A 14,999-nucleotide genomic window follows, 5' to 3' on the forward strand; every position below is an offset into this window, starting at 1 on the left:
CTGAGGCAGAAGAATTGCTTGAACCTGGGAGGTGGTGGTTGCAGTGAGCCGAGATCACACCACTGCACTTCAGCCTGGGCAACAGAGCGAGACTCCATCTCAAAAAAAAAAAAAAAAAAATTCAGATTCAATAAACTTGGAATGGAGCATACAATCTTCATTTATCAACATTTAGGAGATTCAGATGTAAATGAGTTATGATACACCCTTTTAGAAATCCTAAACTAGATTCTTCCTCCTAAATATTTCTCAAATTGTTCCTACCTCTGTAGTATCATCACCCATGACCAACCTTAGGCTCTGATTTGAACTAACCCAAATGCCTTCTAATTAGTCTAAGTTTTTTGTTTTTTGTTTTTTTTTCTTTTGAGACAGGGTCTCACTCTGTTGCCCAGGCTGGAGCGTAGTGGCTCAATCACCACTCACTGCAGCCTTCGACCTCCCAGGCTCAAATGATCCTCCCGCCTCAGCCTCCCAAGTAGTTGAGACTACTGGTGCATGCCACTACGCCCAGCTAATTTTTGTATTTTTTGTAGAGACAGGGTTTCACACCATGTTGCCCAGGCTAGTCCTGAACTCCTGGGCTCAAGTGATCCTCCCACCTCAGCCTCACAAAGTGCTGGGATTACAGACATGAGTTATGGCGCCCAGCTCTGCTTTCGTTAAGTCTTATCCTTTAAAAATGCATGCTCTACAGAATGATATGTCATTCTCCTACCTAAAATTCTTCCAAGAGACTTATGCTTCTTGCCAACATAGAGTAACAGGGATGAAACTTATGCTCCCACCTGAAACAACTAAAAATCTGGACCAAAAAAAGTATGAAAATTATTTCTGACAAAAGAAACAAGACAACACAGGACAGTGATCAATGAAAGAGAAAAAATAAATGAGGTAAAGCCTACAATTGTCCCCAGTTTACTTACTGGAGAATTTCTAAGCTGCAGAGAAAGGAAGGTGTCCCAAGCAAGCTCAGTGGTTTTCTGGAGTTAAGATAATGAAGTGAGGAGTTTAGGGGAGGCCAAGGTAGCTACAGTCTCCCAGAACATAGTACCACAGAGGAGAGAGCAGAAAGGAGAGGCAAGATCTCAGATAATCTGCAGGGGACCTCCTTAAATCTTGAGCTGAGTATTGATCAGTAAAACAGGGAAAGACATCCATAGGCAAGGGTATGCCAGAAAACATGTAATAACTGAAGGGTAAGTAGTATGTAGTTCCTAGTTTATAGGGTTACTAATGTTTGTGGTATATATACTTCCACCACAGCCAATTTCAAGCTACTGACATATCAGTGAATAAGAATCGGAAAAAAATACATGGCAACACATTATACATTACATAGTGTTTCTACCATAAGGACATAATAAGGCTGGCTGCAGCAGCTCACATCTATACTCCCAGCACTTTGGGAGGCCAAGGCAGGCAGATCACTTGAGGCCAGGGGTTCAAAACCGGCCTAGCCAACATGGCGAAAACCCATCCCTACTAAAAATACAAAAATTAGCAGGGCATGGTGGTGCACACCTGTGGTGCCACCTACTCAGGAGGCTGAGGCATGAGAATCGCTTAAACCCGGGAGGTAGAGGTTGCAGTGAGCTGAGATTGCACCACTGCACTCCAGCCAGGCCAACCTAGTGAGACTCTGTCTCAGGAAGGAAAAAAAAAAAAAATACCCAATAGATATAAATTACCATGAGTGCACAAAAACAGTAATATAAAATAATATAATTATATGAGGTAATGAGTTCTGAGCATTTACTACCTTTGTTCGTAATAAGTGATTTAATTATGCTTATATAATTTAATTATCTTAAGAATTAAGCTAGCTCACAAACTTCCTGATATTTTAACAATCGGCTCTCATGAGCCAGCTCAAGGCATAACACCACACGTGGCTCACATATAGTCAGGAACAACTGGTTAACCTACTAGCCACAGTAGACAACCTCATAATTTGTGGGACATGAAGTACAATGCTCAGTACCACACTGCATCAGTAGTGGTGCAAACTGAGCTCTAGACTAAAGACTATTCTGGTCTCACCTAACAAAGATGAAAAGCAAGCCTCAAAAGGATAAAGCCATTTCCAGTGAACTCCACTGTGTCCCAGAACACAGGCCAAGAATATTTATGGGAATTAAAAAAAATCCAGCTCCAAACAAGGTAAAATTGAGAATGCCTGGAATCCAATCAGAAATTACCAAACAGGCCAAGTGTGGTGGTTCACACCTGTAATCCCAACACTTTGGGAGGCCAAGGTGGGTGATTGCTTGAGCCCAGGAGTTTGAGACCAGCCTGAGCAACATGGCAAGACCCCATTTCTACAAAAATTAGCCAGATGTTGTGGCACATGCCTGTAGTCCCAGGTTCTTGGGAGGCCGAGGTGGGAGTTTTGCTTGAACCCAGGAGGTTGAGGCTGCAATGAGCCACGATCATGCCCCTGTACTCCAGCCTGGGTGACAGAGTGAAATCTTGCCTCAAAAAAAAAAAAAAAAAAAAAATCATATAAAGAAGCAGGAAAATATCACTTAAAATGAGAAAAAGCAATCGACAGAAAAAGAACTGTACATGACAGTCACTAGATAAGAATACTAAATCAGTTATAACTGTAGTTCTTATGTTCAAAGCAGTAGATGGATATATTAAGCAAGCTAAGTAGAGATACGTAAGTCTTTTTAATGTGAATTGATTCTTCTACTTAGAAAAACACAGAGTTTGGAATGAAAAATATGCTGGGATTAGACACTGAAAGAAAAGGTCAATCAATCTGATGCCATAGCAATAGAAACCTAACAGAGAGAAACAAGAGTGGAAACAAAACCATGAATGAGATATAGAATATCATCAAGACGCCTAAAACATGGGTAACTGAAGTCCCCAAAAGACTGAAAGAGAAGCAGAAAAAATACTGTAAGAAATGATCCCAAACTTTCTAAATATGATGGAAATGACGAATTCACAGATCAAAGAAGCTCAATAAGCTAGGCATGGTGGCTCAGTGCTGTAATCCCAGAACTTTGTGAGGCCAAGGAAGGTGGATCACTTGAGGTCAGGAGATTGGGTGGGGTTCAACATAGTGAAATCCCATATCTACTAAAAATACAAAAATTAGCCAAGAGTGGTGGTGTGTGCCTGTGGTCCCAGCTACTTGGGAGGCTGAGGCACAAGAATCACTTGAAGATGGGAGGCAGAGGCTGTAATGAGCCGAGATTGCACCACTTCACTCCAGCCTGGGTGACAGAGCGAGACTCCATCTCAAAAAAACAAAATACAAAGAAGCTCAATAAACCCAAGCACAAGAAACATGAATAAAACTACAGTAAGCCAGCTCATAACCAAACTGCTTAAAAATCAATAATATAAAGAATATCTTAAAAGCAGAGAAAAACAACACATTACAGGCACAGAGAGAAAAATAAGAATGACAGCTGACTTCTCGGTGGAAGCACATGCCAGAAAACAGTGAGGTATATCTTTGACGTACTGAAAAAAGTTGTCAACCAAAAATTCTATACTCAATAAAATGTGTTTCAAAAAGTAAGGTGACATAAAAATTATTTCAAACTTAAAATAGTAAAAAACCTATCATAGACAGACATGCATTATAGGAAATGTTAAAAGAAGTTCTTTAGGCAGAAGGAAAAGACACTAGATGGAAGTCTAGATATATCCAAAGGAATATAGAGCACCAGAAATGGTAAATATGAAGATAACTATAAAAAACTTTTCCTGGCCGGGCATGGTGGCTCATGCCTGTAATCCCAACACTTTGGGAGGCCAAGGTGGGCGGATCACCTGAGGTCGGGAGCTTGAGACCAGCCTGACCAACATGGAGAAACCCCATCTCTACTAAAAATACAAAATTAGCCGGGTATGGTGGCGCATGTCTGTAATACCAGCTACTCGGGAGGCTGAGGCAGGAGAATCGCTTGAACCCAGGAGGCAGTGAGCCGAGATTGCGCCATGGCACTCCAGCCTGGGCAACGAGAACAAAACTCCATCTCAAAAAAAAAAAAAGCTTTTCCCCTTAGTTTTTAAACATAAATAACTGACGAGCAAAAAATATACCAATATACTGTACAGTTTATAACATAAATGGGAGTAAATGTAATAGCACAAATGTGGGAAAGGGGACATACAATGTAAGATTCTTATACTACATGTAAAGTGGTATAACAGCACTTCAAAGTATGCTAAGATAAATTAAGATGTATAGTATAAATCTTAAAACCACCACTAAAAAGCAGATGAACAGAGAAAAAGTAATAGTAAAAAAGCTAACAAAAGAAACAAAATGAGAACATGTTTAAAACACTCAATCCAAAGGACAGCAACATAAGAGAAGAAAGGGAACAAAAAGCATATAGAAAAAATAAAAAGCCAATAGCAAGGTGACAGATTTAAACTTTATCAAAAATCACTTTCATACAGCCATTTCAATTATAAATAGTCTAAAAATAGTTTCAAGCAGTTTAGTTATTTGGAAGCAGTTACTTGGAAGGAATAACAACAAATGAACATTAAAAGATTCAAGTCATTTAAACTGTGACCACGATGAAATTAAATCAGAAATCAGTGATAAAAAATACAACTCGAAAATCCTCAAATACCTGGAAATAAATAACATGCTTCTAAATGACCCATAAGTCAAAGAAGAAATCAAAGGGAATTAATGCAGCATATCAAAATCTCTGGGGAACAGCAAAAGCAGTATTTACAGAGAAATCCAAAGCAGTAAACATGTGTTAGAAAAAAAGGAAGGTCTCAATGATGTCAGCTTCTACCTTAAGAAACTAGAAAAAAAAAAAAAGGATACTATAATCCACAGAAAAAGAAGAAAAAATAACAATGAGCAGAAATCAATGAAATAGAAAACAAAAAAGCAATAGAGAAAAATCAATGAACCAAAAGCTGATTCCTTAAGAAAAATCAATAAAATTGACAAATCTTTAGACAGACTCATCAGGAACAAAATTATCAATATTAAAGAAAAAAGAGATGTTGCTATAGATTCTATAGATGTTTTAAAAAGATGGTTCTATAGATATTTTCACAACAAGGGTACCAAAACAATTCATTGAGGACATAATAATCTTTCCAACAAATGCTGCTAGGACAACTGGATATCCACCTACAAAAGAATGACATTGAACCCCTACCTCACACCATATACAAAAATTAACTTAGGATGAACCAAAGACCTAAATGTAAGCACTAAAATGATAATGTTCTTGCTGAGCATGGTGGCTCATCCCTGTAAACCCAGCACTTTAGGAGGCTGAGGGAGGAGAATAGCTTGGGCCCAGGAGTTCACGACCAGCCTGGGCAACAAAGAGAGACCCCATCTCTACAAAAAATAAACAACATTAGTTGGGCGTAGTGGTGTGTGCCTGTGATCCCAGCTACTTGGGAGGCTGAGGTGGGAGGATCACTTGAGCCCAGGAGGTTGCACTGAACCAAGATCACGCCACTGCACCCCAGCGTGGGCGACAGAGAGAGAGAATCTGTCTTTAAAAATAAAAAAACACTAACAAATCTTTGTGCAAATAGGTGCAAATCTTTGTGACCTTGGATTAAACAAGTTTATTACATATGATGCTAAAAGCATAACCAACAAGGACAAATGTGTGATTCCAATTACTACGTGAGTTTATCTAAAATTGTCAAATTAATAAAAACAAAAAACAGAATGGTGGTTGCCAGGGACTAAGGGAGGGGGAAATGTCACGTCATTGCTTAATGAGTACAGAGTTACAGTTATGCAAAATGAAAAACATTCTGGAGATGGACCACAGTGATGGTTACACACAATGTGAGACTATATTTAATGCCACTAAACTGTAACCTTTAAAAATGGTTAAAATGGGGCTGGGCACGGTGGCTCAGGCCTATAATTCCAGCACTTTGGGAGGCCAAGGCAGGCAGATCACAAGGTCAGGAGACAGAGAACATCTTGGCCAACATGGTGAAACCCCGTCTCTACTAAAAATAGAAAAAATTAGCTGGGCGTGGTGGCGTGCATCTGTAGTCCCAGCTACTCTGGGGCTGAGGCAGGAGAATCACTTGAACCTGGGAGGCAGAGACTGCAGTGAGCCAAGATTACACCACTGCACTCCAGTCTGGGCGACAAGAGCAAAACTCCATCTCCAAAAAAAAAAAAAAAAGGTTAAAATGGTAACTTTTACGTTACATATATTCTGCCACAATTAAAACATAAAAATTCAAAAAGCACAAGCAACCAAAGAAAAATACAGATAAATGGGGATCATCAAAATTAAAACCTTTTGTGCTTCCAAGAACTCAAGAGAATAAAAAGATAACCCATAGAATGGGAGAAAATATTTGTAATTATCTCTCTATCTATAAAAACCCTTACAACTTAATAAAAAGATAAACCTAATCTAAAAATGGGTAAAAGACTTAAACAGATATTTCTGCAAATAAAATATACAAATAGCCAATAAGCACATGAAAAAATGCTCAATATCATTAGCCCTCAGGGATATGCAAATCAAAACCACAGTGAGATACTTCACACCCACTAGTATTGCTATAATAAAAAAGACAACAAAAACATGTGTTGGCAAAGATGTAGAGTTATTTGCACCCTCATACATTGCTGGTAGGAATGCAAAATGGTGCAGCTGCTTTGGAAAATAGTTTGGCAGTTCCTCAACAAGTTAGACATACAATTACCATATGACCCAGAAATTCCATTCTTAGGTATACACCCAAAAATAAAGGAAAACATATGTCCACACAAAAACATGTACAAAAATGTTCATAGCAGCATTATTCATAATAGTTATAAAGTGGAAGCAACTTAAAGGTCCATCAACTGCTGAGTGAATAAACAAAACAAGGAATATCATATCAACACAATGAAATACACTTAAGCCATAAAAAACAGTGAGGTATTGACAAATGCTGTAACATGGATGAACCTTAAAAACATTATGCTAACTGAAAGAGGTCAGTCACAAATGGTTACATATTGTAAAATTCCCATTTATATAAAATACCCTGAATAGGCCAGGTGCAGTGGTTCACACCTGTAATCCCAGCACTTTGAGGGGCCTAGACAGACAGGAGGATCACTTGAACTGCAGGAGTTCGAGACCATCTTGGGCAACATGGTAAGACCTTGTTTCTACAAAAAATTAAAAAATTAGCCAGGTATAGTTGCACATGCCTGTAGTTCCAGCTACTCAGAAGATTGAGGCAAGAGGACTGCTTGAGCCTGGGAGTTTGAGGCTGCAGTGAGCCACGATTGTGCCACTGCACTCCAGCCTGGGCAAAAGGGCAAGATTCTGAAAGAAAAAAAAGGCAGGCAGGCAGGCAGGAAGAATCCAGAATAGGCAAATCCATAGAGACAAAAAGGAGATAAGTGATTGCAGAGACTGTGGGAGGGAGGAAATGGTAGAAAGTGAGTGCTATAGGTATGGGGTTTCTTTTTAGGGTGATGCAAGTATTCTGCAATTAGGTACTACTGATGGTTGTCCTACTTTGTAAATATACTAAAAATCACCAAATTGTATAATTTAAAAGGGTGATTTTTATGGTTAAGTGTATATCTCAATGTTTTTAAAAGATAAGAGAATCGGCCAGGCGCGATGGCTCACGCCTGTAATCCCAACACTTTGTGAGGCTGAGGTGGGTGGATCACCTGAGGTCGGGAGTTCAAGACCAGCCTGACCGACATGGAGAAATCCTGTATCTACTAAAAATACAAAATTAGCCAGGCGCAGTGGCACATGCCTGTAATCCCAGCTACTCGGGAGGCTGAGGCAGGAGAATCACTTGAACCTGGGAGGCGGAGGTTGCGGTGAGCCTAGATCGTGCCATTGCACTCCAGCCTGGGGAACAAGATTGAAACTCTGTCTCAAAAAAAAATTAAAAAAGATAATATTACAAATAACTTCATGTCAATAAACCCAACTATTTAGATGAAATGGACACATTCCATGAAAAACTGCAAATTCCCCAAAACTCACTCAAGAAATTATTTCTTAAATATCCTTAAAGAAAGTGAAGCTAGGCCAGGCACGGTGGCTCACGCCTGTAATCCCAGCACTTTGGGAGGCCAAGGCGGGTGGATCAAGAGGTCAGGAGGTCAAGACCATCCTGGCTAACACGGTGAAACCCCGTCTCTACTAAAAATACAAAAAATTAGCCAGGTGTGGTAGCAGGCGCCTGTAGTCCCAGCTACTTGGGAGGCTGAGGCAGGGGAATGGCGTGAACCCAGGAGGCGGAGATTGCAGTGAGCTGAGATGGCGCCACTGCACTCCAGCCTGGGCAACAGCGAGACTCCATCTCAAAAAAAAAAAAAAAAAAAAAAAGTGAAGTTATAGTTAAAAACTTGGCAAAAATAAATTCCAGGCCAAGGTGAGTTCACTGGTAAATTTTAACTATGCCACTTGATATACATTTAAGGAAAAAAATAATCCTAATTCTACCCAAACTCTTCTAGAAAACTGAAGAGGAACATTTCCCAACTCATTCCATGAGGCCAGGATTAGTCTGATTTCAAAACCAGACAAAAAAATTACAAGAAATTTGAACTACAAACCTATATTCCTCATAAACATAGATGTAAAACTCCAAACAACTTTTTAACAAACCAAATATAATAATATTTTTAAAATAATACACCATGACCAAATGATGTTTATCCCCAAAATGTAAGACTGGCTTACATGTACATAAGGTTGGTTCAATGCAATTCACTCTATATTAACAGACTGAAAAAACAAAACCGAAAAGAAAAAATAGGAAATAAACATAACTGGCCCTTTTGACATCAGGCCTTACATATTGCCTTATGTTTGGTACCCACGCCTCTCCATAGATAGATGGATATCTTTTCCATCTCTATGAAGCTTACTCCTTTTTCTATGCTTATAACAGAATACCAGAAATTGGGTAATTTGTGGAAAATAAATTTCTTCCTTTCTTTCTTTTTAAATAGAGACAAGTTCTATGTTGCCCAAGCTGGTCTCGAACTCCTGTACTCAAGCAATCCTCCCACCTTTGCCTCCCAAAGTGCTGGGATTACAGGTATAAGCCACCACACCGAGCCAAGAAATTTATTTCTTACTGTTACAGGGGCTGAGAAGTCCAAAGTCAAGGAATTGTCTCTGGTGAGAGCCTTCTTGCTCATGAGGATTCTCTGAAGAGATTTGAGGTAGCACAGAGCATCACAAGGTGAGAAGGCTGAGCGTGCTAATGTGCTAGCTCAGGTCTCTCTTCTTCTTATAAAGCCACCAGTTCCCCTCCCATGATAACCCATTAATCCATTAACCAATTAACCCATTAATCCATTCATGAGGGCAGAGACTTCATGATCCAATCACGTCTTAAAGGTCCCACCTCTCAATAGTGCCACACTGGGGATTAAGTTTCAACATGAGTTTTGGATGGGACATTCAAACCATAGCATATGATAAGCCAATAAAAGAGTTAATATTTATATAATGTGATCAAGTAAAGGGTTTTTAAGATCAAAATTAATTTTCTTCTAGAATTACCTTTACTTTGATTGGGTTTAGTCAAGTTTAAGCCCCTTCAGCCATGTGAAGACACAGTGAGAAGATGGCCACTTATAAACCAGGAACTGGGCCGTTGCCAACACTTAATCTGCCCTTGGACTTTTCAACCTTCAGAACCATGAGAAATAAATGGCTGTTGTTTATTTGCTACCCAGTCTATGGTTTTCTGTTACAGCTGCCCAAACAGACTAAGACAATAGCTAATGAGACAGACAAACAGACAAGGCAGATAGATAAAACTCTCCTTCAGGTAGCAACAAATAAAGCTGAATTTGTCAGCAGTAGAGCAACAGAAGCAGAGCACTAATATGACATCATTTAAACGTACTGACTTAGCTCAGCCTGAACCAGACAAACACCCTGGACTTTTCAGTTCCAAAAAATCCCTTTGTTGATCTATGACTTAGAAGAAGAAATGAGATGAGAAGGCACCATATATCATTCTTAGGTCCAAACCAGCTTGTTAAATCCTGGAACAGACTAACTTGAAAATGATTATTGGACTAGCAAGACTGATTCATTTCAAGATACATTAGTTTAGCACACACAGTGTACTATGTACTTATCATTAAGACATAATCTCAGCTCTGGACAGCCATTCATCTTCAATGGACATTCATAAATGAAGCATAAATAATTCAGCAAGGCCTAGGTGAAATGCCTGATGTAAAGATCCATCTATATATTTAATTTTTACAAATGTTTCCCTTTCATCAACTTACAGTTTTCCTCACAACAATATATTTTATAGCTGCCTAACTGTATACTGCATTTTGAAAATGCTTACAAAAAATTTTAATTCTTGGCTTGCTTTAAATATTTTTTAAATTTGTCAGTTAAATTTAGGAAAAAAGTCAAAATTTCCATTAATTTTATTTAGTGATACTTATCCTTAAGGATGTTATTTAATGTCAATTTTTTTTAAGGCCAGTGACAGGTAATAAATAAATGACTACTTAATCCTCTCTAAAAGCCATGCTCCATCTGTCTTAAGAATTCTCAATGGTTTCTGTCAACACAACAATCAAAAAGACTAGGAAAAGTCTTAAAAGCAAATAAAATAATCTAAAGGAGACGGATCAAGGTAAAGATTCACAATGAGTTAGGATATTTTACCATTTCTCATGGGACAGAGTCCTCCCTGAAATATCTTTTGATATCAAAGTCAAGGTCTGAATATCAAAATATTGAGACCTTGAATCTTATCAGATATGCACCATTGCTCTAAATTCTTGAATTTGTACTGTCTTCAGAGGGCACAAAAATTTTTACCAGCATATTAACCAACCTCTAAGCTGGACTCTCCGTCACCTCTAAGAATCTACAGGACAGGTAAAGCAGTTCCCAAGCTAGTTTCAGTATTTCAAAATCCCTAAGTGCCATAACAGATCATATATAGTTGATTCTCATAAAGTTGCCATGAGCACTGAATTATCAAATACTCAATACAAGAGAAATTCAGAGTGAAGTTCCTGCTAGCCTCTGACTAAAACATTTTCAACAGCCTAACAACACATATCCTTGTTTTATCTGTACTTTTATTTAAAAACACTTTTATTTCTTTATTTATTTACTTACTTTTCGAGACAGTCTCACTTTGTCGTCCAGGCTGGAGTGCAGCGGTATGATCTCGGCTCACTGAAACCTCCGCCTCCCGGGTTCAAGTGATTCTCATGCCTCAGCCTCCTGAGTAGCTGGGATTACAGGTGTGCACCACCACGCCCAGCTAATTTTTTCTATTTTTAGTAGAGATGGGGTTTCACTGTGTTGGCCAGACTGGTTTCTAACTCCTGGCATCAAGTGATCCACCCACCTCGGCCTCCCAAAGTGCTAGGATTACAGGCGTGAGCCACCGCACCCAGCCTAAAAACACTTTTATATTGCTGATTCATAAACACGGAACTCACAGTCAACAGCACTATAACTTTTCATCACAGCCTTCTTGCACTTAGGAACACTATAGACAGCACTTTAGCACTACACTTAGGGGCAATTTTAAACAGTGAAACCACCTCTAAAAAAAAAAGTGGGAAAGATGTAGCACTAAGTAAATAGACAAGAGAGCTAGAACAAGGCAGCAGAGAGTCATTTTGTTTAACCTCATTTGGAAATGTGTACATCAAGCAACTCAAATTTCACCACTCTGAACATGTCCGCAAATGACTGCGAAAGTGCCAGACATATTGATTTGGGGGTTACAAATAAATTTTAGCCAGTAAATGAGTTCACAAACGTGGAATCCAAGAATAATGAGAACAGACTATAGTCATCCCTCAGTATACGTGGGGGGGATTGGTTCTAGGACCCCAAGTATAGGTATCCAATAAATAATTGTTAAATTATTTAACAAGCATATAGTATCCAATAAATGTTAAATGAATGGACAATTATACAAAATACAATAATTTAGACACATCCACAATATAAAGTACAAATATAGCTTACCCCATTTCAACAACCACTTAACATACTAGTGTAGGTCTGGGTGCGGTGGCTCATGCCTGTAATCCCAGCACTTTAGGAGGCCAAGGTGAGTGGATCACCTGAGGTCAGGAGTTTGAGACCAGTCTGGCCAACATGGCAAAACTCTGTCTCTACTAAAAATACAAAAATTAGCCAGGCTCAGTGGCACACACCTGTAATCCCAGCTACTAGGGAGGCTGAGGCAGGAGAATCGCTTGAATGCAGGAGGCAGAGGTTGCGGCGAGCTGAGATTACGCCACTGCATTCCAGCCTGGGCGACAGAGCGAGACTTTGTCTCAAAAAAAAAAAAAAAAAAAAAAAACACAACATACTAGTGTATTCTCTTCCATTCTTATTTCAATGTGAATTTTAAAAATCAGAATTCACACAACACACACTTAATTTGGCATCCTGGCATTTATTCCCCACTTAAGCCACATAATTAAGGGCTAAATTGTCTGGGATTTTTTTATTTTTTAGAGACAGGGTCTCACTCTGTCACCCAGGCTGGAATGCAATGGGGAGATCACTGTTCACTGCAGCCTTGATCTCCCGGGCTCAAACGAACCTCCCAGCTTAGCCTCCCAAGTAGCTGGGACCTATAGTCATAGGTGTGTACACTACCACATCCTGGCTTTTTTTTTTTTTCTTCTTCTTCTTTTTAGTAGAGACAAGGTCTCCCTATGTTGCCCAGGCTGATCTCCAACTCCTGGGCTCAAGCGATCCTCCCGCCTTGGCTTCCTAAAATGTTGGGATTACAGGCGTGAGCCACACCGCCCAGCCTAAAATTGTTAATGGCCATATAAAAACTGTATAAATAGTTTATAATTTGACCATTTCCATTCTGTTAGGACATTTAAGCTGCTTCTGATATTATACTATTTATTATTTAAAATGCTGTGATTAACATTCTTGTACACTCTATGTCTGCATTTGATTATTACCTTAAAACAGACTTATTGGGTCACAGCATATAAATGTTTCCATCCTTGAAGGACACTGTCAGGTGGCTTTTAAGATAAAGCTTCATTTGTTAAAAATTCTAAATGCATTTTTAAATGACTATGCAAGAAAGTTCATTAAAATATACTTCTTTGGGAGGCCGAGGCAGGCGGATCACCTGAGGTCAGGAGTTCGAGACCAGCCTGAACAACATGGAGAAACCCCGTCTCTACTAAAAATACAAAATTAGCCGGGCGTAGTGGCACATGCCTGTAATCCCAGCTACTAGGGAGGCTGAGTCAGGAGAACTGCTTGAACCTGGGAGGCGGAGGTTGCGGTGAGCCGAGATCATGCATATATATATAAAATATATATTTCTGAATCATACTTTACATAGAAGACTTAATAGGCTTTACTAATTTGCTATCACTCAATGTAGCTTTAAGTGTTTTAATATTACTAATGAAAGAAAAATGTTTAATTTAGTTTAATTCGATTTATTATCTCATTGAATTTTTCTAATATACTTAATCAATTTTTAAATTTAAAAAACCAGTTGATCCAGGTGTGGTAGCTCACTCCTGTAATCTCAGCACTTTGGGAGGCCAAGATGGGTGAATCACCTGAGGTCAGGAGCTCGAGACCAGCCTGGCCAACATGGTGAAACCCACCTGGCCAACATGGTAAAACCCCATCTCTATTAAAAATACAAAAATTAGCCAGGCGTGGGGGCACGTGCCTGTAATCCTACTCAGGAGGCTGAAGCAGGAGAATCACTTGAATCCGGGAGGTGGAGGTTGCAGTGAGCCGAGATCACGCCACGGCACTCCAGCAGCCTGGGTGACAAAGAGAGACTCCATCTCAAAAAAAAAAAAAAAGAAAAAGAAAGAAAGAAACCAGTTGAATCCTATGTTTTGATTACCCAAAAAAAAAAAAAAGTTCCTTTTAAAGTATTACTAGAGGAGTGAGGATTGGGGGAAGGCAGAGCTCAGTTGTTGTGGTTTTGTTTGTTTGTTTGTTTGTTTTTGAGTCAGGATCTCACTCTTGTCACCCAGGCTAGAGGGCAGTGGCAGGACAATAGCTCACTGCCACCTCAAATTCCTGGGCTCAAGCGATACTCCTGCTTTAGCCTCCCAAGTAGCTAGGACTACAGGGGCTTGCCACCACACCCAGCTATTTTTTAAATTTTTATAGAAACAGGGTCTCACTATGTTGCCCAGGCTGGAGTGGTACTCCTGGCCTCAAGTGATCCTCCAATCTCAACCTCCCAAAGAGCTGGGATTACAGGCATGAGCCACTGTGCCTGGCTGACATTTCATTTTCTAGCAGGTAAAGAAGAGTATGCCTCGTTAGTGAGAGGTAAGTTACTTCTCCCCTCCCCAATATTTTTTTTTATTGTGGTAAAATACACATAACATAAAATTTGTCATCTTAATCATTTTTAAGTGTATGGTTCAGTGTAATCCAATACATTCATAATGCAATCATCACTACCATCCATCTCCAAAACTCCATTTTGTAAAACTGAAACTCTACGCTCCTTAAACATTAACTCCGCATATCCCCCACCTCTAGCCTCTGGCAACTACCTTTCTACTTTCTGTTTCTATGATTTTAACTACTCTAAATACCTCATATATGTGGAAACATACAGTATCTTTTTGTGACTGGCTCATGTCACTTAACATAATGTCCTCAAGGTTCATCCATGTGGCAACATGTCAGAATCTCCTTCCTTTTTAGAGGTAAATAATATTCCCTATGCATATACCACATTTTGCTCATCCATTAATGGACACTTGGGTTGCTTTCACATTTTAACTATTGTGAACAGTGTGGCTATGAACACAGGTGTACAAATCTCTCTTCAAGACCCGGCCTTCAATCCTTTCAGGAATAACCCAGATATGGAATTGCAGAAGGCCACATTACTTCTATCCTATTATTTTAGGCCCCAACTCTCAGACTGCTTCTCTCTACACTTCATACTACCATCATGACCAAATTCAAGCTTTCTACCATTCTGGACTAATTTCTATTTCTTCC

General features: G+C 39.3%; 1 protein-coding gene across 20 annotated transcripts in view; it reads right to left on the reverse strand.

Moving 5' to 3' along the window:
- ZZZ3 (zinc finger ZZ-type containing 3) overlaps window positions 1–14,999 on the reverse strand; it is a 120,983-nt gene that overhangs the window by 83,454 nt on the left and 22,530 nt on the right. The window contains exon 1 of one of the 20 annotated variants that reach the window (XM_047417326.1): window positions 11,127–11,146. The exons of the other annotated variants lie outside the window; for them this stretch is intronic. The gene's annotated coding sequence lies outside the window, so the exon portion shown is untranslated. Of the gene's footprint in view, window positions 1–11,126; window positions 11,147–14,999 lie in introns of those variants that run through there. 20 annotated transcript variants of the gene reach the window in all.

This window comes from Homo sapiens, chromosome 1 (assembly GCF_000001405.40).
Source record: "Homo sapiens chromosome 1, GRCh38.p14 Primary Assembly".
Lineage (NCBI taxonomy): Eukaryota > Metazoa > Chordata > Mammalia > Primates > Hominidae > Homo > Homo sapiens.